The 22183-nt window shown below is 41.5% G+C and overlaps 1 protein-coding gene across 5 annotated transcripts in view, besides 2 other annotated features; it reads right to left on the reverse strand.

Moving 5' to 3' along the window:
* ATP6V1H (ATPase H+ transporting V1 subunit H) overlaps window positions 1–22183 on the reverse strand; it is a 127703-nt gene that overhangs the window by 11222 nt on the left and 94298 nt on the right. For all 5 annotated transcript variants that reach the window (NM_213619.3, NM_015941.4, XM_006716455.4 and 2 more), the window contains one exon: window positions 16813–16926. In NM_213619.3, the coding sequence (NP_998784.1) occupies window positions 16813–16926 (114 nt within the window). The remainder of the gene's footprint in view (window positions 1–16812; window positions 16927–22183) is intronic.
* Window positions 855–2054: an enhancer, noted in NCBI's record as "P300/CBP strongly-dependent group 1 enhancer chr8:54640179-54641378 (GRCh37/hg19 assembly coordinates)". NCBI's record gives its function as "activates an origin of replication core promoter dependent on BRD2, BRD4, P300/CBP, MED14 and CDK7 cofactors, with strong dependence on P300/CBP, by STARR-seq in HCT116 cells {active_cell/tissue: HCT116}" and the evidence as "EXISTENCE:reporter gene assay evidence [ECO:0000049][PMID:35650434]".
* Window positions 15436–15575: an enhancer, noted in NCBI's record as "active region_27359". NCBI's record gives its function as "activates an Ori minimal core promoter by ATAC-STARR-seq in GM12878 lymphoblastoid cells {active_cell/tissue: GM12878}" and the evidence as "EXISTENCE:reporter gene assay evidence [ECO:0000049][PMID:35858748]".

The following is a 22183-nucleotide window of genomic DNA, read 5'->3' on the forward strand; positions in this document are numbered from 1 at the left end:
CTGAAATAGGACTGTCTCCCTCCGCTCCCTCCTGCTATCTGTGGCACACAAGATCATGGAGAAAGACCAGGGAATACTCTGACCATGTTTAAAGAATGGCTCTGCTTCGTCCCCACTATCTAGCCCCACTTCCACTCCCAAATCACAAGTTTGGACCATAACAAGTCAAATCTTTAGTTATGAGGAAAACACTTATTCGGCATGAATTGGACACCTCACCCCACCTCTGAATTAGCAATTCCTTTCAATAAACATGTATTTGCTAAGTTAGTTGATCTGAGCTAGTCTGGACAGATGTTTTAGTCTCACTAGTAGAAGGAGTATCGGCAGGAAAGTTTTCCACGCTTTTAATGGTAGACAGTCCCACCTGGTTACTTTCCCTAAGTAACCATCCCATCCTGGCTCTTCAGGGCCTTGCCTCCATCAATTACCTGGCCCAGGTGGCCAATGGCCTTCTCGCTGCTGCACCCACTGCATACTTTTCAGTCCTTCCTTCCTCATCCTCTCGGCTTATTTTACACTGCTCACCACTACTCCATCCTTCCTGAAATATACTTGTTTTCCTTTCCTTCCCTAACAGCACATGTTCCTGGTTTTCACCTAATTTTCCAGCCAGTTCTCCCTAGAGTTAAGCAGTTAAGGTCTTAACTGCTACCACCCCACCCTCCCTGGGTAAAATCTACTCCTCTTCTGTCAGCCCATTCCATGTTTTGTCAGAGTCCATGGCAGCAGGTGGTTCTCAGCCTTTCTTGGATCACACAGCTCTTTGAGACTCCTGTGGAAAGCATGCGCTCTTCTCCTACTGCATACAATTGCAGGGAGTTAATCCAAAACCTCCCCAGTGAAGAGCTCCTGTTCTACACACATTTTTTCAGGTAATCTCATCCCCTTCCACGACTTCCACTCTCACTCCACTGATTACTTTAAATATGTCGCTCTAGCTTACATCTTACTCCTGAACTCCAAACCTATATTTCCAGCTTTTGAATTTCTCCTTGGCTAGAACGCAGAAACATAAAATTCAATGTGTCTAAAAAATGAACTCCTCAGTGCCACCCCAATCCTGTTCCTCCATCTACATTCCTGTGTGAGTCAATGGAACACATCCAGCTGCAGTTCGGAAGCCAGACTGCCAATCTTGATGTGACTCATTCGCCACCAGCTCCATGCAATCATTAAGTCCTGTCACTTCCATATTTTTAATAACTAAAAAAACTGGTCTTCTTTCCTCTGTCCTTGCTATCACCATTATTACCTAGGGAACAACTGCCTCATCTCTAGAGTGATCTAAGAGTTCCCACCTGGTTTCCTTGCCTTTGAACTTGCCACGCAGCAGGCAGGGTGACGTCAAACACAAGCCTTCTCACGGTAGCCGCCTGTTCAGTCCTCTAATTGCTTCCATTATTCCGGGAAAATGTCCTCACTCCTTAATGTGACAAGGAAGGTTCCCCTACCTCAGCAGCCACATCTCTCCCAACTCACCCCTTCAGCCTCCATCCTCAGCCTTACAGGGGCCAAGAGCCACTCGGCATGGGTGGCTACTGAGCCCCAGGAAGGGGGCACATGCAGACTCAGCTGTGCTGAGTGTGAAACACTTGCCAGATTTTTCAGACTCAGTGTGAAAAAAATGGAAAATATCTCATTAGAAAATTTTACACTGATTACTCGTTGAAATAATGTAGAAATATTGGGTGAAATAAAATATTATTAAAATTAACTCCACTTTTTTTAACTTTTCAAAATATGGCTACTTGAAATTTTTACATTTCTCCTGTGTTGCTCGCATTACAATTTCACTGGGCTGTGCTCCTCTAGGCAACAGAATTCCATGCAGATCCCCTGCTTTGTCCCTTCTGGCAACGCCATCCACTCGACGGCATTTGTTAGGTGCTACCTTGAGGTGGGCAACAAATGTGAGCTAACAGAAGGCCAGCAAAGCACAAAGCCCTGCCTTCCTCCTCCTCATCACATGGGTCAGCTCCTGCTTAAGGCCTCAGCACAGGCCGCCTGCCTCCAGGAAGACAGTCCTGATTTCACCACAACCAAGATAAACACTTCACTCATCTTTCCCCAACGGATGCAGAGCTCGGTCCTATCTAAGCATGCAACACACTGTGCTGTCATTTTCTGTACTTGTTGGTCCTCCCACTAACAGATTCTAGCTCCATGAGGGCAGAAACGTACATCACCATAGCCTAGAACAGGACTGGACACAAAACAAATGCTCAATAAACCTTTAATGAACAAATTAATAATTAATACAATTAGTCTTGTTGTTCCAGTTCCGCTCTTGGCTGATGACCGACAGCTGGAGATTCGAGGGCAGAGGCTGAAAACCTTTGGGCCAGAGCAGCTGCCCTCCTCAAACCTCCCCACAACAAACATAAGAGACTAGCACCACATGTTTTTTTTGGCCAGCCCAGTTTTTGTTGTTTTTTTTTAAGTTATACTTTTTGTCTTTAAAATTAGGATGACCAGACCAGAAAAAAGTGAAGTTGATATTTTGGAAGAGAGGAAGAAGAAAATATGAAACAGGTTCACTGTGCACTGGTTACCAACTTGGCTGAATTTGGAGAAACAGAACACCCACACCCAAGAGGCTATATGAAGCAGATTTATTACTTACAGATAGGAAGCAAGGGACAACAGAGGCCTGGGATCCATGGCAAGCCAGTCCCCCAACGTGCAAGAAAGCAGCCCAGGGCAGATGAAGTCTCATCTGTGCATGCCTCACTTCCAAGGCAGCTGAAGGACCCCAGGAAGTAGCCCACCCTGAGTTTTACACCCTGGGGGCCACATGATGTGCTGGGCTAATGTGCTGAAGCTCACCCTGCTGTGGGGAGGAAGGGAGTGTGGAATGGAGCCCAGGCTATTCCAGGCTGTCCTTCCCTATCTGGGGATATTACATTCCCGGCATATCCACAGTTATTCTTGTAAACTACAAGTGAGAAAGGAGACAGAATTGGGTCTGTCCAAGGCTACCAGGAGAACTGCCCCGCAGACAGGGCAGAAAGTCCAGCCGCAGCTCTGTGGAAGTCCTTCAAAGTCCTCTGAGGAATGGGCCTCAGGTACTGTACTAGCCCAGGTCATCCTCCCACTCTGGCTTCACTCAGCAGGTAAAGGAGAGACAACTGGCCAATGAACAGGCCAGGCAGGAAGCAAGGGAGCTTCCTGCACCCAGGAATTTGGAAGGGCATACCCAAACCATGTCAGCTGATGCGGAAAGCTGAGCTAGAACATCATGATGACACAGCTCAGCCTATGCCTCTAGAGCAATCATGACAGGGTCTTGGGCAGGAAAAGCAGTCTACAGAGAAGAAGTGAACAGCCTGGCTATGAATGTAGAAACCACGCAAGAATGGGAGGTGGAAAACACTACTGCCTGGCTCACTTCCCACCAGCTTTCTGGTCTCCAGTTTCAGTGGACTGTGTGACTTCACTTAACTTAGATTCTGTGAGCCACCTGATATCCTTGTCACATGTCTCCTTATATTTAAGCTAACTTCGGTAGGTATTTGTTTCTTGTAAACAAACTATTCTTGGAGAAGAACAAGAAAAACATGTCTAGACTTCGTTCAACTAAGATATTCTCACTAGCAGTATCAATTACATTCCTGTTTTGTTCTGATGGATCTTCTAGTGGCTAACTTGTTTCTATAATAGATCATTTACATTATTTCTTAAGGTATAGCTTCTTGAATTTATTAAAATATTGCAAAGTTTTTTTAGATTATCATTTAAGAATCAATTTTACCAAAACCATGAGTCTGAGTACGCACTATATATTGCATCAATGGACCTCAGTTACGTAAGAGAACATCCTACCTCTGAGGAGATCTGTGCCCACGTATTCAGGGCTGCAGGGTCATAATGTCTGCCACTTATTCTCAAGCAGCTCAGAAAGAGAGAGAAAGAGAACACATACAAATGCAGCATAATGTCAAAGCTGGTGACTACAGATGAAAGCAGCTTTTCAGTAGTTAAAATTCTTTCCAATTAAAAAACTCAAAAACAAAGACTCATGAGAACATTTTTTCTTTCCACTCTTCCCTTTTCCACCTCAACCAGGAGGACGAAAGCACCATACTGTGGGAAGGGGAGCAGTAGGATGAAGGGCTCTGGCTCTTTCATGATTTTGTTAGGCTCTGGACTCACCGACATCCACAGTCCACATGACATGAGAAAGATAAACCCCTTACTTATTAAAATAAAAATCCAAAAAGAAGTAAAATTAACATTCAGGTGACTGTAATCTTATTAAGCCTCCACGCGACTTCAAAGGATGCCTTCTGGTGTTAGTTCCGCTACTGCTAGAATCCCAGTTCCACTTCTGACAACACTGCTGTGACTCCCGACACACAGCAGGCTCACAGGGTGCCTTTGCCTGAAGTCCTCCTGGTACCCCAGCCACATCTCCACCAACTCACTCCTTAACCCTTAACACCTCTAGCACTGCCTGATCCCGCCTGTTCCCAAGCTCCTGTGACACCTACATACACTTCTGTCACAGCTCTCACGATAAGGAAGGAGACCACCTCTCTTATTGTCTCATACCTCAGAAAAAGAAAGAGGAAGTAAAAGCTAAAGAAAGGCAAAAATGAGATCAATAGTCAGACAGCCCAGCGCCACACCCCAGGCCTGGTCTGGTAGTTAAAAATCAACCCCTGACCTAACCACTGTATTATCTACAGATTCCAGGCATTGTATAAGGAAGCATTGTGAAGCTTTCTGTTCTGTTCTGTTCTGTCTTGATTGCTGATACATGCAGCCCCAGCCACGTACCCCATGCTTGCTCAATTGATCATGACCCTTTCACATGGACCCCCTTAGAGCTGTAAGCCCTTAAAAGGGCAGGCATTTCTCTCTCGGGGAGCTCGGTTTTGGGACGCAAGTCTGCTGAAGCTCCTGGCCAAATAAAGCCACTTCCTTCTTTAACCTGGTGTCAGAGGGGTTTTGTCTGCAGCTCGTCCTGCTACATTTCTTGGTTCCCTGACCGGGAAGCGAGGTAATTAACAGATGGTAGAGGTAGCCCCTTAGGTGGCTTAGGCCTGCCCTCTGGAGCATCCCTGGGGGGGACTCCAGCCAGCTTGAGCGACGCAGATCCTGAGAGCGCTCCGGGGTAGGCATTTGTCCTGGTGGAACACCTCATCAGAGCGGTGCATGGCAGTCCCCCACGGAGGATCAATGCAGTGGCTGAACACTGCGAAGGAACTGACGCTTGGAGTTGGACATCTGGAATATGGTAAGACTGGTCTTAGGAACTTGCCCACTCCATCTGAGTGGAAGCGTGGCCTGATCACCCACAGTGTGCCTTTATTGGCACTTTGGTTTTGGTTTTGATTTTGACTTGGCTTGAATTGCTTGATGAACAGGCGTGCCTTTATCGACACTTGCTTTGGTTTTAATTTTGATTTAGTGTGAATTAGACAAGTGAGTGACCTTTTACCCTTTCCTTCTTGTAGTGTGAGTGTTGTTTTGTCTCAAAAAATAAAAATAAAAAATAAGTTAGACAGAAAGTAAGCCCACCCTGCTAGGAACTATGTTAAAAAATATACATATACAAAAAAATAAGAAAAAAGTCATCAAAACATCCAAAATTTACTCTATTAAAGTGCACGTTACAGAACCTTAAAAAAGGTTGTGCAGGGGATTACAGAGTTAAGCTAACCCCTCACAGGTGAGAACTCTCTGTGAATGTAAATTAGAATTGCCCTCTTTTGGTGTTGGATGGCCAACAGAAATAACTACAGACAGGGAACAATTGGCCATGTATTTCAGGTGGTGACAGGGGTCAGAGCCAGTGTACCCAGACCAAATTCCTTTAGAGTGACTCATAGTTAAACATAATATAGACAAAACCAGCATAGATCCAGCCCTGTTTAACAGCTTATTGCAAAAAAAAAAAAAGAAAAAAAAAAGTAACAGTAAGAGCAGCTTCGCCAGCAGACAGAATTAAAAGAAGAAATCCCAGAAACAACAAGAGAAACCAGTTTTGCAGGAGCCGCCAGAGGTAACAGAAATTCTCCCTCCATATGTCCCAGCCTACCCCCGCTTTACAGAGGCCAGCAGCCCCCCAGGAACCAGGTTCAGGAGCTAACATGCTCCAGGTCTCACCTCAAAGGGGAGGATCAGAGCCGCGAGAGGCCAGGGAAGGAAGTCAAGATAGTCAAGCAGGCAGTCTCAAATCTGGCCGTGCTCGAGCTATGCAAATGCCCCTGACGGAGCAGTGATATACTGGGGTAGACAAGGACGGGCATATGGTAGAAAGGTGTGCCTTTGTGTATCAACCCTTCACCTCTGCTGATCTCCTCAACTGAAAGAATACCCCAGCTTATACTAAAAAGCCTCAAGCCTTAATTAATTTGCTCTAAACTATTATCCAGACTCATAACCCTACTTAGGCTGACTGCCGCCAGCTGCTCATGTACTGAGGACAGCTGGTTCACCCGCCTGGACTTGAAGGACGCTTTCTTTAGCATCAGACTAGCTCCTGAGAGCCAGAAATTGTCTGCTTTCCAGTGGGAAGATCCGGGGTCAGGTGTCACCACTCAGTACACTTGGACCTGGCTTCCCCAAAGGTTCAAGAACTCCCCCACTATCTTCAGGGAGGCCCTGGCTCAAGACCTGCAAAAGTTTCCCGCCAGAGACCCAGGCTGTGTGTTGCTCCAGTGTGTCGACGACCTCCTGCTGGGACACCCCACAGCAACTGGGTGCGTCAAAGGAACAGATGGCCTGCTCCGGCACCTGGAGGACTGTGGGTATAAGGTGTCCAAAAAGAAAGCTCAGATCTGCAGACAGCAGGTACACTACCTAGGATTTACTATCCGACAGGGGGAGCGCAGCCTAGGATCAGAAAGAAAGCAGGTCATTTGCAACCTACCGGAGCCTAAGACCAGACAGCAGGTGAGAAAATTCTTAGGAGCTGTGGGGTTCTGCAGGTTATGGATCCCAAACTTGGCAGTACTGGCCAAACCTCTGTACCAAGTCACAAAGGGAGGCGACCACGAACCTTTTGAATAGGGGTCTCAACAGCAGCAAGCCTTCTGTGAGTTGAAAGAAAAACTCATGTCAGCCCCAGCCCTGGGTCTGCCTGACCTGACAAAGCCATTTACACTATATGCATCAGAGAGAGAAAAAATGGCAGTTGAGGTTTTGACCCAGACTGTGGGACCCTGGCCGAGGCTGGTGGCCTACCTCTCTAAACAACTAGACGGGGTTTCTAAAGGTTGCCCCCCATGTTTGAGGGCCTTAACAGCAACTGCCCTGCTAGAACAAAAAGCAGATAAACTGACTCTTGGGCAAAACCTGAACATAAAAGCCCCCCAATGCTGTGGTGACTTTAATGAATACCAAAGGACATCATTGGCTAACGAATGCTAGACTAACCAAGTACAAAGGCTTGCTCTGTGAAAATCCCCACATAACCATTGAAGTTTGTAACACCCTGAACCCCAACACCTTGCTCTCAGTATCAGAAAGCCCTGTCGAGCATAACTGTGTAGAGGTGCTAGACTCAGTTTACTCTAGCAGACCTGACCTCTGGGACCAGCCTTAGGCATCAGTGGACTGGGAGCTGTATGTGGATGGGAGCAGCTTCATCAACCCACAAGGAGAAAAATATGCAGGATATTGAGTGGTAACCCTGGATACTGTCATTGAAGCCCAATCATTGCCCCAGGGTACTTCAGCCCAGAAGGATGAACTCATTGCTTTAATTCAGGCTTTAGAACTAAGTGTAGGTAAGACTGTGAACATCTACACTGACTCTCAGTATGCCTTCTTAACCCTCCAAGTACATGGGGCATTATACAAGGAAAAAGGCTTGTTAAACTCCAGAGGAAAAAACATAAAACATCAGCAAGAAATCCTGCAACTATTAGAAGCAGCGTAGAGGCCCCAAAAGGTGGCAGTCATGCACTGCAGGGAACACCAGCGAGCTCCCACTACAGTTGCTTTAGGGAACTCCTGGGCTGACTCAGAGGCTCGGAAAGCTGCATCCACCCGCTACCGGGCGTCAGTCACAGCCCTCCTTCTCCCTCAAGCACCTGACCTTGTACCTACTTATTCTAATGAAAAAAAAAAGGACTTTTGCCAGACAGAAGGAGGACAAATAATAGAAGAAGGATAGATCCAGTTACTGGATAAAAGGATAGCTGTGCCACAACTGCGAGGAGCCACAGTTGTACTGGCTGTGCATGAGATCACCCACCTAGGCCAAGAGTCACTTAAAAAGTTGTTAGGCCAGTTATTCTACATCTCACATTTATCAGCCCTTGCCAAAACAGTGGCACAGCAATGTATTACCTGCCAGCAGCACAATGCGAGGCAAGGTCCAGCCGTTCTGCCCGGCATACTAGCTTATGGAACAGCCCCCTTTGAAGATCTCCAGGTGGACTTCACAGAAATGCCAAAATGTGGAGGTAACAAGTATTTACTAGTTCTTGTGTGTACCTACTCTGGGTGGGTGGAGGCTTATCCAATACAAACTGAAAAAGCTCGTAAAGTAACCCATGTGCTTCTCCGAGATCTTATTCCTAGCTTTGGACCACCCTTACGAATCGCCTCAGATAACGGGCTGGCGTCTGTAGCTGACTTGGTACAGAAAACAGCAAAGTTATTAAAGATCACATGAAAACTACATGCTGCCTACCAGCCACAAAGTTCAGAAAAAGGTAAAACACATAAACTGGCACTCAAGCAGCTACTGAAGAAATATTGCCAGGAAATTCATTTAAAATAAAATCAAGTTTTTGCCTATGCTCCTCCTCCAAGTCAGGTGCACCCCCACCAAACAAACTAGGTAGTTGCCCTATAAGATTTTGTTCAGTCGGCCACCCCGCAAATCATAAGTCCCCCAAATTAAAAGTAACCTCCAGGAACTAGGGGAATTAACCTTAAAAAAAGCAAATGCAGGCTTCAGGAATAGCCATACAAAGTGTTCATAATTAAGCACACAAAAATGCCTATAAGCCTGACACTCCTTTAAATCTGGTGACTCTGTTTCGGTTAAAAAGTAAAATCTAATTTCTCTAGGATCCATATAAGATAGGCCCTATACTGTAATCTTGTCCACTCCCACTGCTGCTAAAGTTGCAGGTGTTGTTTCTTGGATCCACCACAGTCGGCTAACACCGGCATCTCAGGACAAGTGAACCAGCCAGTAGGACTCAGATCATCCAACCCAGCTAATCCTAAGATGAGACTGCGCTGCTGAGGAAACAACAAGCCCTGCTCTAGTCACACACCAGAAGCTGACTAGTCTACCCACGGCCGAAGCTTTAGGACTCGTCAAACAAGTAATATAGTTAGAAATTTTAGGCCTAGTAGTATTCTTGTATACTGTTTTACTATTGTTCTGTCACTGTACTCAATCTTTTTCCCAGGTAAGGACCTCTTTTGTCCTTGCTAGCACTTATATATAAGTGTCCCCACTGTACACATACTACTTAGTCAAAGAACCCAGACCCGTCTGGCCCAGCAGCATTTCCAAGTCTTTAAATCATTCTTTAAGCATATAAACCAAAAGTTACCAGAGCCTCCTCCCTTAGCCGAAAACATTGCCGGCAGCCTAGGCCATGTTATGTTTGTGGAAAGACTAACATAGGAGACCAATGGCCTTAGGAAGCAAAAAAGTTAATGCCTCAAAATAACTATACTCTGACTAATTCTTTCCCCGAACAGACGCCCACAAGTTCAAGCTTCTAGCTGTTAAAAACTTCCATTATTAAAAACCAAACCCCCATCTACATGCTCAATCAAATCATACAGTTGAAATAATCATACAGTTAGAAATAATCACTAATAAAACTGGCAGAGCTTAACTTGCTTGCTGCTGTATTACCCTTATTCCTTCAAATAATAAAAAGTTTTGTTGCTAGCTTAGTTCATCAGAAAACCTCGGCACAAATGTATTACATGAATCATTATCCATCTGTCTTGCAGGAAGACCTAAGTAGTGAAAATGAGAATGAGAACTCCCACTAATAAGTGAGATTCTCACAGGGGGGAATAAGGAAGGAGACCACCTCTCTTATTGTCTCATACCTCAGAAAAAGAAAGAGGAAGTAAAAGTTAAAGAAAGGCAAAAATGAAATCAATAGTCAGACAGCCCAGCGCCACACCCCAGGCCTGGTCTGGTAGTTAAAAATCAACCCCTGACGTAACCGCTTGTATTATCTATAGATTCCAGGCATTGTATAAGGAAGCATTGTGAAACTTTCTGTTCTGTTCTGTCTTGATTACTGATGCATGCAGCCCCAGCCACATATCCCTTGCTTGCTCAATTGATCACAATCCTTTCACATGGACCCCCTTAGAGCTGTAAGCCCTTAAAAGGGCAGGCATTTCTCTCTCAGGGAGCTTGGTTTTCGGGACACAAGTCTGCCAAAGCTCCCAGCCGAATACAGCCACTTCCTTCTTTAACCTAGTATCTAAGGGGTTTTGTCTGCGGCTCGTCCTGCTATGACAGTGCACTGAAATTGTGTGCTACGCCTTTATTTTCTACTTTGTATTTCTCTACTTTAGCACAAATTGAATTTTCTAACAAGTATTCCTGTCTGTAATTAGAGACAATTACAGAGATAAAAGTAAACACTCCCATAACTCTCTTAACTGAGAAAAGAGCTGGATACAAATGGAACAGCATAGTGTTCAAACCAGACACTGAAATGTTTTCTCAGAATACATTTCTGGGATATTTAGCAAGGCAGGAAAAACTCATCCAAGAGACTGTTTTCATTTCAGGCTTCTAAATGCCTAACCCTTAAGGAAAATAAGGCAAGAAGAGCACAGCTCCTACCAGTGTGAGAGGTGCCTCTAGGAGAATGCAGTACAGATCTGATACCGTGTGGTGGGAGAAATCTGGTCTTTTAGGAAAACCTCTGGCCCTGTACTAACACTTTGGCACCTTTATGCTGAATTCCTTTTTTAAAATGTAAGTAAAAACAGATGATAAACTTCATCTAATTCATCTAAGAGGATTTAGATTTAAAAATGTAACTGCTGCACTGCTGCACAATTCTTTTAAAATTTAAATGGAATAAAAATTCAATTAAAGAATATTTACATCAAAAGGTACCTTTCTTAAGACAATAGGCTGATACTCTTCCTCCTCTTTTTGGTCAATTCCTCAGGTTTTTACTACTGACAAAAACCTGTCAATTCATTTCCATTAGCTATAAAACATTTTTTCCCCCATCATGACTTAACATCTGGGTGACATACATAAAGGGAAACTGAGAAAATAATTCAAAAACTTAAATATCTTAGAGAGTGAATATAAAGTTTGCTTTATCTTAATTAAATTTTTAGTATACTCTGCCAACCATTCTATTGAGTTTATTGGATTTAAAAGATGTTTCATCTCTACTAAAAATATAAAAAATTAGCTGGGTGTGGTGGCGGGCACTTGTAATCCCAGCTACTTGGGAGGCTGAGGCAGGAGAATTGCCTGAACCCGGGAGGTGGAGGTTGCAGTGAGCCAAGATCACGCCACTGCATTCCAGCCCAGGTGACAGTGCGAGACTCTGCCTCAAAAAAAAAAAAAAATGCGTGCACGTGCACACACACACACAAAGCCCATGAAATGAAATATGCCAAGGGATCACAGATGTAACTGCCCCACCCACAGAAGGAAGAGAAAGCAATGAAAACCAAAGCAAGTTAATTCGTTTTTCTCTACCTCTCCTTACTAGACCAGGCTTTTCTTTCGTCTACACTTTATTGATCCTTTAAATCCCACTTTAGGTACCTGTTTGTCTACAAAGCCAATCGTAAGCAAACAAAACCAAAACATGAACTAGATCCACAGATCCCCACACTTAGTCATGTGCACCTATGTGTGAAACCTGTAATTGATTTTATGTTTAATTATAAAGTCCACAGACTACATTATCCATCAGGGGTTTTCTTTACTGTCAAAATGCTTATTTTCCAACTCTTCTGAATATTTATTTAGGCTGATACTTTGCAACAATCTGAGGTTTATGTTATGCCGGCATTTGCAATTCAACTGTAATTCAGTGGTGCATACTGTCCAGAAAAGTTAATACAGTCTTAGGAAACATTTCTAACTTGCAAAGAAGCAGCAACCTTCGATTGGGAGGCTGAATTACCAGTTGATAGTGAGATAACAGCTGTAAAAAATTCCTCTTTACCTGGAATGGGTTTTCATATTTTTAAAAATCCAGTTATATTTGTTTTTTTCAAATACAGAAAACATATGACATTAAAGACATTTTCAAATGTTCCTCCACTAAAAATGTCATAATAATGTGGAAAATTCCAGGTACCCAGAAACAGACCAGGTACCCAGAAAATTTCAGGTACCTAGAAAATTCCAGAGACCCAGAAAGAGAATCTAGAAATTAATTTAGAAATTAGAATTCTAATTTAGAAATTAGAAATTAGTTCTGGAAAACGTTAAATCTAGAAATGTTATGTTTATTAAAAATCATGTGGAATGTTTTGGTAACTTGATTATTATCCTAAAAATTAGCTAAAACACATAAGAGGTTTTTTTTTCTTTAGTTCATAAGTAACTATTTTAATCACTGTATTTATGGCTCTGCACTTACAGAATAACTAAAATATGCAAAGCAGATAGAAACACCAGAGAACAAAGTAATATCCATACCCTTGGCCTGGTGAGTTTTTCTGTTATATTAATTTACCTAAGCATAAAAAATCTAGATGGTAACACTCTTATAACTTATTATGCTGCTTAAGAAAGGGCTGAACAAGAATCTAGAGACAAAAATGAAAAATTCTACGTGAGATCCTCTACCTACAAAAGTCAGTGTTTCTTTCCTGAAGTCCTGAGCTGTCCATATGCACATATCGTTGCTTCTGCATTAGAGGCTGATTACATTTAAAATCATTCTGTAGGAGAAAAACGATGACATCTTATGATGTGAAACGGATGAATTAGGTGTATATACACAAGTTCTCTTAGTTGTCACTGTTTATATATTCTGCCAAATTTATGAATATAAAAATCCAGCACTGCACAAAAGAACAAAGGGCACACCAGGAATGCCATGGTGGGCACAAAAAGATAAGAGCTGCAGAGGCCCGCGAGTAGGACTGGCCTGCTCAGGCCTCCCAGCTGAGGGCGCCCAGTGGGTGCCACTGTCCCCTCCCTCCCCAGCAACTCTATTCCTCCTCCACCGCTCCTCACCCACTCTCAGTCAGGGTTATTTATAATCCATTGTTCCACAGAAATACAGATGTGATGTGGAAGGGGAGAAACGCTGGTATTCTAACACCTACAATTCAAGGATACAGTTTTGAAATCAATCATAAAATAAATAAGTATTTTCCCATTATATAACTCCATACTCCATATGATATAAACTCAAATGTATCTCTACATTATCAAGAAACTTAATATTTAACTCCTTATAACAGAATCAAAATCAAAATCCAAATCCATATCTGACCCAGTTCCATGATTTCATAAGTAACATAAATTACACTTAAAATGTAATTTTGAAATTATACCTAAAATTTTTTAAATTCATGGCAGAAAGTAATAAATGTTAATTTTATTGTATCCAAAGTTACAATTTAATCTGATAAACAAAAACTTCAGGAATAATGCAATATCAAAAACCTAAAAATCCTTTAGGGCAGAAAAACCCAGGGATGCAGGCAAAGTGCCGCTGCTGCTGCCTGTCACGCAGACCTTCATGCTTTCATCTGTGCTTGCATTTTAATTATGTTAAAATAATTATTTCACTATGGAGGGCTAAAATACACCATTTATAATAACTCGTTTCCATTTAAATCGAGCCAATGCTAAAAGAAAAACTCCACTGTATTTTCAAGTTTTCACTTGGTAGAAAAGAAAACAATTTAGAGAAATTTACAAGATTCTTTAGAACACCAGCAGCATATTTTAGGTTAAAAAGCCCCTATTTTAGGCAGGTAGAAAGGTAGTCTTTATGAGTTTAGTATAGACAACTAGGTTACCTGAAAAAAGGTATTGATCCAAACTTCTTTTACATTTGGGGATATACTTTGCAAAAGATTACTTTCCAAATGGTATTCTATTTAGTCTCAAATTAAACTGGTATTGTAATAAATTATTACTTGAGCAACTTTCATTCTCTGGCACAGGGAGCCACAGAAATTTATAAGTCACAATCAAATACAGAGATCACAGGTGAATTTTAATCTTCCTTCATACAAAAATTTCTCTATGAAGGAAGTGTGGGAAAATACTAAGCTTCTCCATTAAATGCAAAGGAGATAATCGTAGTTAAAACATTAAAATTTAAAAAGTTTGCCATATAATTAGAAAGAGAGAGGAAAAAAGAATACTCTCTCATAAAGAGCAAATAAACCAGTATTTCCCTGTAAAGACAGAATACACTTCCTCTTATAATCACACACAGAAAAATGTACTATGAGACTACATCAAGTTCCTAAATTCAAGAAAAAAGTCAAATTTAAAAATTTCATCTTCAATACATGATCATCTGAACAACAAAAATTCTCAACTAAAAAATTTCCTCCACTGGCAAAGGGAAAAGGTCAACATCCTATTTCACACACATCTTGCCTTTCATATTAGGAATATACATTTTTTAAAACAAGAAAACCACTAACCCAACAAGAAAGACTTCAAGAGAAATACGCTAATAAAATAATAACTGTATTTCAATAGCCCTAATTTCAACACAATGGGAAAATAAAACTTTGACTTTCACAGAAACTTTAGAAAAACATCTGGCAACTATAAGCTCATTGGTTGCAATGGCCTGAAATTCTATTAAATGCCAACATCCTTTAAATTAAATTCCTGAAAGAGATATAAACAAACCATAAGATATGAAATTACTAAATAAATGATTTATGTTGAAAAATCTGGCTTGGGGTAAAGTGAAGTAAGGAGAGAAATCCTGTGATGTATCCTATGTTTTACTGACAGACCTGAAGTTTTTCCTCCTGCTAAACTGATAAAAACCATTCTGGGGTTTTCACCTTCTGTTTTGATCCCATTCTTCTTGCACTGAAGTTATGGAAAAAAGTAAAAAACATTTTCAGCCCATCAAGTGCTGTCCACACTAGCTCTGAATCTACCCCAAGTCCATCTACTTCTTATCTCAATGTTTATCATCTAGGCCAAGCCACCAACTACCTCAGCCCCAGACTACCATGAAAACCAGCTCAAATGCTCTTCATGCTTTCTCACTTACCCTTGCACAACCCGTTCTCCAGGGAGTAGCCAAAGTGACCCTTTCAAAACATAAACCACATCTTGTCATTCCCCTATTTAATATCCTTGCAATGGTTTTCAACTCATCTTACAGGAGTCAAATTATAGCCTACAAGGCCCTACACGATCAGGTCTCTGCCTACCTCTCCTGAACCATGTTTTTCCCCTCGTACCATCCTTCATGTCAGAGTTTGCCCTTGACCATCCTTCATATCAGAGTTGCCCAACATTGGCACTCACATATACTTCTTTAATTCTAGGGACTGCCTGCATTACAGGATATTACCAGCACTCCAGCTGTCTATCCACTAGGTGCCAGTAGCACCTCCACCCCTGAGTGTCACAACCACATAATTCCCTGTACATTGCTTTAAACAAGCCAAGTTCGTTACTACTTCACAGCCTTTTCACCTCTCATTCCCTCCACCTAAAATGCTTATTCACTCCAGTAATAGAGCTGTATGGCTGGTTACTTATCATTATTGTCAACTTAGCTATGTGGCCTACTCAGGGAGGCTTTCTCTAATCATCCTATGTAAAGTTGCACCCACTTTCATCATACCTAACATCATTTAACTTATCAGGGTACAGATTTGTACACTTATCAGGGTACAAAGCTAGCACTCAAAAAGCACTTGTAAGAATTTACATAAATGTCATTATTTATGATAAAAGTGTTAAGTGGCAGGAACGTAATATGTAACACATGATACCACAGCAGTACTCCTGGATATTCTCCTACACTGTATGTGCCTGCATCTTCAAACGCACTCATGCTAGTGCATCACTAACCCTCTCCTTTGGAAGTGCTGGTAGCATTACTGTCAGTTACAAGCAATGTATATTTGTTCCTGATGCCTTAACAAAAAAACAGAGCATCCTTCCAGAGGCTGGGGAATGGAGAGGCATTTGAACTGTTTAGGATACTGCTGAAGGCACTGAACACCCAACCTACAGCTAAAAGCAGCTATGTCAAGGGGAATCTTCATTTCTTCTATTATGTACACAAAGGGCTCACCATGTCTAAGTAGTTACTCTTTAATTGATCTTGTTTTAAGTGGGTACAAAAAAGTCACTAATTTTTATTTTAAAAATAAAAACAGGCAATAAAGAAGCATAACTTTAGTTACTTCAAAAGCAAAAACTATAGTGAATGAAATGTGAGAGCTGAATCTAAGTTGATTTATCAGCTTTTAGTGTTTTTATGTGAATTGGTAAAATTCATCCAGTTTACCATATGCTGAATAGGTAAGCCTTGCAAAATTGTGGCGTCTCTAAAGGAATCAGTAGTCCAACTGCATTCAGCTCCAAAAAGGACTGACTGACTTATGTCACAGGGTCCTTTTAGTTACTTCTGGAGTCGTTTTTGAAATTATTATTTTGAATATACACTCCTTGAGACCTTTAGTGCAGTCCGTCTTTATAAAACTAATGTGTCATTGCTCTGAATTACTAAAATATATTTCTAAATTTTGAATCAAAATAACTAATTTTAAAAATGATCATTCAAAGCATTTGCATAAGAACTTTTAGAATGGCAAGTGAGAGTTTGCAGACTAATGTACAAGTGTGAGCAAAAAGCCGTGGCATACCAGTTGTGCACCATGAGCTTCTGCACGGCCAGCAGAGCATTATAGCGGACCTGCTGGTCTTCATGATGCATGTGGTTCATGACCAGCTGCTTCCCACCGAGCTGCTCGATGACCCTGCAAACGGGAGAGACGTGGTGAGGAAGATGCAATTACTCTCAAATTCACAGTTTGTAAGCAGGCAGCTCAAATACCAACACGCTAAAAAGGAAAGTAACAATGTACGTAAATAAACCAAACGTGTCTTTTTTTACATCATTTTCCCTGAACCATAGATTTACAGTATTCAAATACTTTCGTTTTTGAATTCCTAATGATAAATCCAACAGTTGTTCTCATTTCTCATCTCTAATCCAGAAACATATGATCTGCCTAGATACCACCCAGGCACTAGTATTTTAGATCATTGTTTTCTAAGTGGCTGAGTATTAACGTTTTTATTATCAGTATTTCTTGCTTGTTTAATATCAGTATTGAACACCATCTAATTTTCATAACAACATACAATCAATATCAAGCCCACCAGTGACCGTGCTGCGTGAAGATAGGGGCTTAGATGTAGATAGCAGGGAACAGGGGGTTAAAGAGCACCCATGCTAATTTCCTGGAAAAGACTACTGATTTTAAGATATCCACCCCTTTGTAATAACAATGGGATATGCCATGTGACTTGGGCAGTGAGACGAAGGAGAACATTCATATCTTCGAGACCACCGAGATGACTGACAACCGACACTGCTTTCTATCACCACACTTCCGACATCCTGAAAATCCACTTATTACAAACACAAAGGAAAGTAAAAATGGCTATTTCTTCATGCATAGAAATTGGTCCTCTGTTTCTTTGCAAAGGTGTGGTTACAGACAGAGCTGTGGAGTCTCAGCTTCCACACAACAGTGTGGACTGCCCTGTCCATTCTTCAGCCACCAGTCCTGTCTAGTGGAGGATACCTACAATATAGTCAGTGACAAGCGGCACCTTAATGCAGTACAGTGTTTGGTGGTTTAAGACAATCTCACAGATCAGTAATGTTTCTGGGGTCAGGAAGAAATAAGTAGATGGGGGTCGGAGTGAGAGGGAAGCTTTTATCTGCATACCTTTTCATATTTTATTCTTTAAAGCATGGTTTTAAAAAAAATGCACTGAACTGAGGGGAAAAAAAAGAACATAATGTAACTATCATCAAACATTAACTGAGTGCTTACTGCAGGCCAGGCACTGTACTTTAAAACATTATCTAATATATCAGCTCAGCCATTTATCAAACATGTTAATTAGACAAGTCCTTTACCTGGTAAATTCCTCCCTGACAAATAGGGAAGACAAGGACATCTTCACAGCGTTGCTGTGATGATTAAAGGACATAAAGCCTATGTCCCTGCAGGACACTAAGCCCAGCTGTGCAGCGATGATGATACAGGCTGCTCTCCCGCCTCCCATTCTCACTGTAGTCAAAGGAATCTTGGCAAAACTCTGCATATGATTTTTACTACTTAAAACAATTCAGTGGCTTCTACTTGTCTTAACAAAAGGACCCAGGCCAGGCACAGTGGCTCATGCCTGTAATCCCAGCACTTTGAGAGACCAAGCTGGGACAACTGCTTGAGCCCAGGAGTTCGAGACTAGCCTGGACAACACAATGAGATACTGTCCCCACAAAAAAATTAAAATAAAAAATTAGCCAGGCATGGTGGTGTGTACCTGTAGAACCAGCTACTTGAGAGGCTGAGGTGGGAAGATTGCTTGAGCCCAGTTCAAGGTTACAGTGAGCTATGATTGCACCACTGCACTCCAGCTGGAGCAACAGGGTAAGACCCTGTTTCTTAAAAAAAAACAAATAAAAATAAAACAAAGGACCCAAATCCTTAAAATAGCTGACAAGGTCCTTTCACAGTCAGCTTTGGAGCCCCACTGAGCTTCACAGAGCACGGTCACAGGCTGCTTGTTCTCTAGACTGCCTCTGAGGCCTGAGCTAGCAGCCAACAGCACCATAGCTCCTGGCTGAAGGAACCTTCTCTAACACACGAGTTTTCTCCATAGGCACGTAACAGCCCCTTCTTGTGCTTAGGAACATTACACAGCACTCCAGAAGGTTTGGGGGCCATTTTAAACAGGAAAATCACCACACACACACACACAAAAACCCCACAAAAATGCAAAAAAAAAAAAATATGGTACTAAACAGACCACGTAAAGGACGCTTGTTTCTAGCGTAAGAGACAACATGGGATGGCAGAACGCTGCCTTGTTCCCCCACAGCTGGGGATGTGTCCATTAGCGACTCCAATTATTCACCACTCTACACATGTCCATGGATAACTACAAAAGCGCCTCTAGTATTGACACAGCTGTTGAAAATAAACTTTTTAGTAGGTGGGCAAATTCACAATTCTGGAACCTGTGAATAATGAGGACCAAATACAATCTCAGAAAACTGCCATGTTGTGAGCAAAATAGGACTGATTAAAAACATACAGCTCACACACCACTTACAGTAATATCAAATGTGAGCACTTTCCCCCACGTTGGGCACTGTGCTAAATGTTCATATTTTTCATCTCATGTAATTCTCACAACAAATAATACTGCCTAGCAAAAGCAGTGTTTTTGACATTCTAAACCCTTGTTCTTATTATCACCAGCCAATAAAATTTTGAAAAGCTTTTAATGATTGATATTATTATGTTTATTTCTTTTTTTTTTTTTTGAGACAAGAATCTTGCTTTGTCAGCCAGGCTGGAATGCAGTGGCAGGATTTCGGCTCACTGCAACCTCCACCTTCCAGGCTCAAGCAATTCTCCTGCCTCAGTCTCCCGAGTAGCTGGGATTACAGGTGCTCACCACCACGCCCAGCTCATTTTTGTATTTTTAGTAGAGACGGGGTTTCACCATGTTGGCCAGGCTGGTCTCAAACTCCTGACCTCAGGTAATCCACCCGCCTCAGCCTCCCAAAGTGCTGGGATTACAGGCATGAGCCACCGCACCCATCCTATTATGTTTATTTCTTAAGCATTTAGTAAACTACATTTTATTACTCTCCACCCCAGAGCCCAGTGGGTCTCATACCAAGTGGATGATCTCGCCCCACTGAAACTCACAGTGCTATTGAAATAAACAGACATTTCTCATCTTCTCAAGATGCAATTGAAGCACCAATTATTTTCAGATTATACAAATGCCCAATATCATGAATGCTTGAAAAAAAGGTGAGAAAAGAATCTTTCCAGCTGGTGGATTACAAAATATCATTAAAAAGACAAGATATTTGATGATTTTTTAGAACTAGAGTCAAGTACTTCATTTATGAGCTATTGTCTAATAGGGGTAATCTTGCTAACCATATTTCAAAACAAGTTAAGTCAATAGCATGTTAAGCTTTAAGAACTTGGAATATTCTGAAATATGATTAACAAGTTCAGCACTGGTACATACATTTAAAGAATGCAGCAGCTGATGAAACCAAAAAATGTAATTTGAGAGTAAACTTTTAAATATTCTAAAACATACAGAACTATTTTTGTTTGTTCTAAAGGTCTTTTTCTATCTTAATATAAATAATTCAGATGAGTTTACATAAAATATCCTCATAAGAATTCTATTTGTTTAGTATTCTAAACATGGCTGTTTAGAAGCTAATAAAATGATATCACACTATAACATATTATGATTCCACTCATATTGCTAAAAATGGTTAAGTTGCACAATGCTACTTATATGAAAGTCAATATTTTTTAATCTGTGTAGCAATATACCCTCTAGAGTTATAAATTCAATGAGCACAGAAACCATGCCTATTTTCGTTTCCTTAATTAGGAAGGTCATTACCGTTTTTAAAAATAAAAAGATAATTTTGGAGAATATTTATCAGATTTCTAAGTGAGGAAGCTCACTCTTCTCACTCTTTTTTATTTTTTTTACTTACCTGACTAAAGGAGGAATAAAGAGAAAGCTCTTTTTTTTTTTTTCCTTTTTTTTCCTTTTTTGAGATGGAGACTCGCTCCATTGCCCAGGCTGGAGTGCAGTGGCATGATCTCAGCACACTGCAACCTCTGCCTCCTGGGTTCAAGCAATTCTCCTGCCCAAGCCTCCCGAGTAGCTGGGATTACAGGTGCATGCCACCATGCCCGGCTAATTTTTTGTATTTTTTTAGTAGAGACAGGGTTCCACCATACTGGCCAGGCTTGTCTCAAACTCGTGACCTCGTGATTCCCCCTGCCTCAGCCTCCCAAAGTGCTGGGATTACAGGTGTGAGCCACTGCATCCGTCCAAGAAAGCTCTAAGCACAGAAGTGGTGGGAGAGGCCAGGCTCTGTGGGATTACAGAGCTCACGCCTGTAATCCTAGCACTTTGGGAGGCCAAGGTGGGTGGATCACCTGAGGTCAGGAGTTTGAGACCAGCCTGACCAACACAGTAAAACCCCGTCTCTACTAAAAATTAGCTGGGTGTGGTGGTGGGCGCCTGTAATCCCAGCTACTCAGGAGGCTGAGGCAGGAGAACCGCTTGAACCGAGGAGGTGGAGGTTGCAGTGAGCCGAGATCACGCCATTGCACTCCAGCCTGGGCAACAGAGTGAGACTCCATCTCAAAAACAAAAAAAAAAGTGGTGGGAGAGACAGCAAAGGTTTCAGTAAAATGTAAGCTCCATGGGGCAAGACTCAACAAATATTCCTACGGATCATGTAAGTGATTAAAATATAAACTAAAAGCACCAGATGCCATAAAGAGGTAATGATAGTATTCAGTGCTGCTGAAAAGGTGGTGTAAATGGTATTCCTATATACTGCCAGGGGGACTCTGAATTAGTCTATATTCAATAATGTTTATTAAAATCTCAAAAGTACTCATATCATCTCATTAAATCTATTTGAAGGGGCCAGCAAATAACCAGAAATGTTCACACAGATGTTAATTCTGTTTTCTTAATAATGAAAATTTGGAAACTAATTGCATGCCCAGTAGTAAGATTTGAGTGAACTAGAGCATGTGTACCTATACATAGCATTAAACCATATTTTTAAAACTCTGTAGATGGAAAATACCCATGATAAATGAGGAAATGCAGGAGATAAAATAGGAGATGTCACATATCACAGTTTCAGAAGAAAAAATACATACTATATATGCATGGGGAAAAAACTAAAAAATCATTTTTATCTCATACTTTGTAGTATTAAGGGTGTTGCTTTTTCCTCTTTATTCTTTTCTGTATTTTTCAAGTTTTCTATAATGAGAGTTTGTTACTTTTCATGATGACTATAAGTTAAAATAGAAAAATTAAACCAGTTTGGTCAATAAAAGGTTTGTGCCACTATCAACACAATTTAATTTGTATTTACACATGCTGTGCTAGGCTTTGAACAAAGGAACACAGAGA

This window comes from Homo sapiens, chromosome 8 (assembly GCF_000001405.40).
Source record: "Homo sapiens chromosome 8, GRCh38.p14 Primary Assembly".
NCBI lineage: Eukaryota > Metazoa > Chordata > Mammalia > Primates > Hominidae > Homo > Homo sapiens.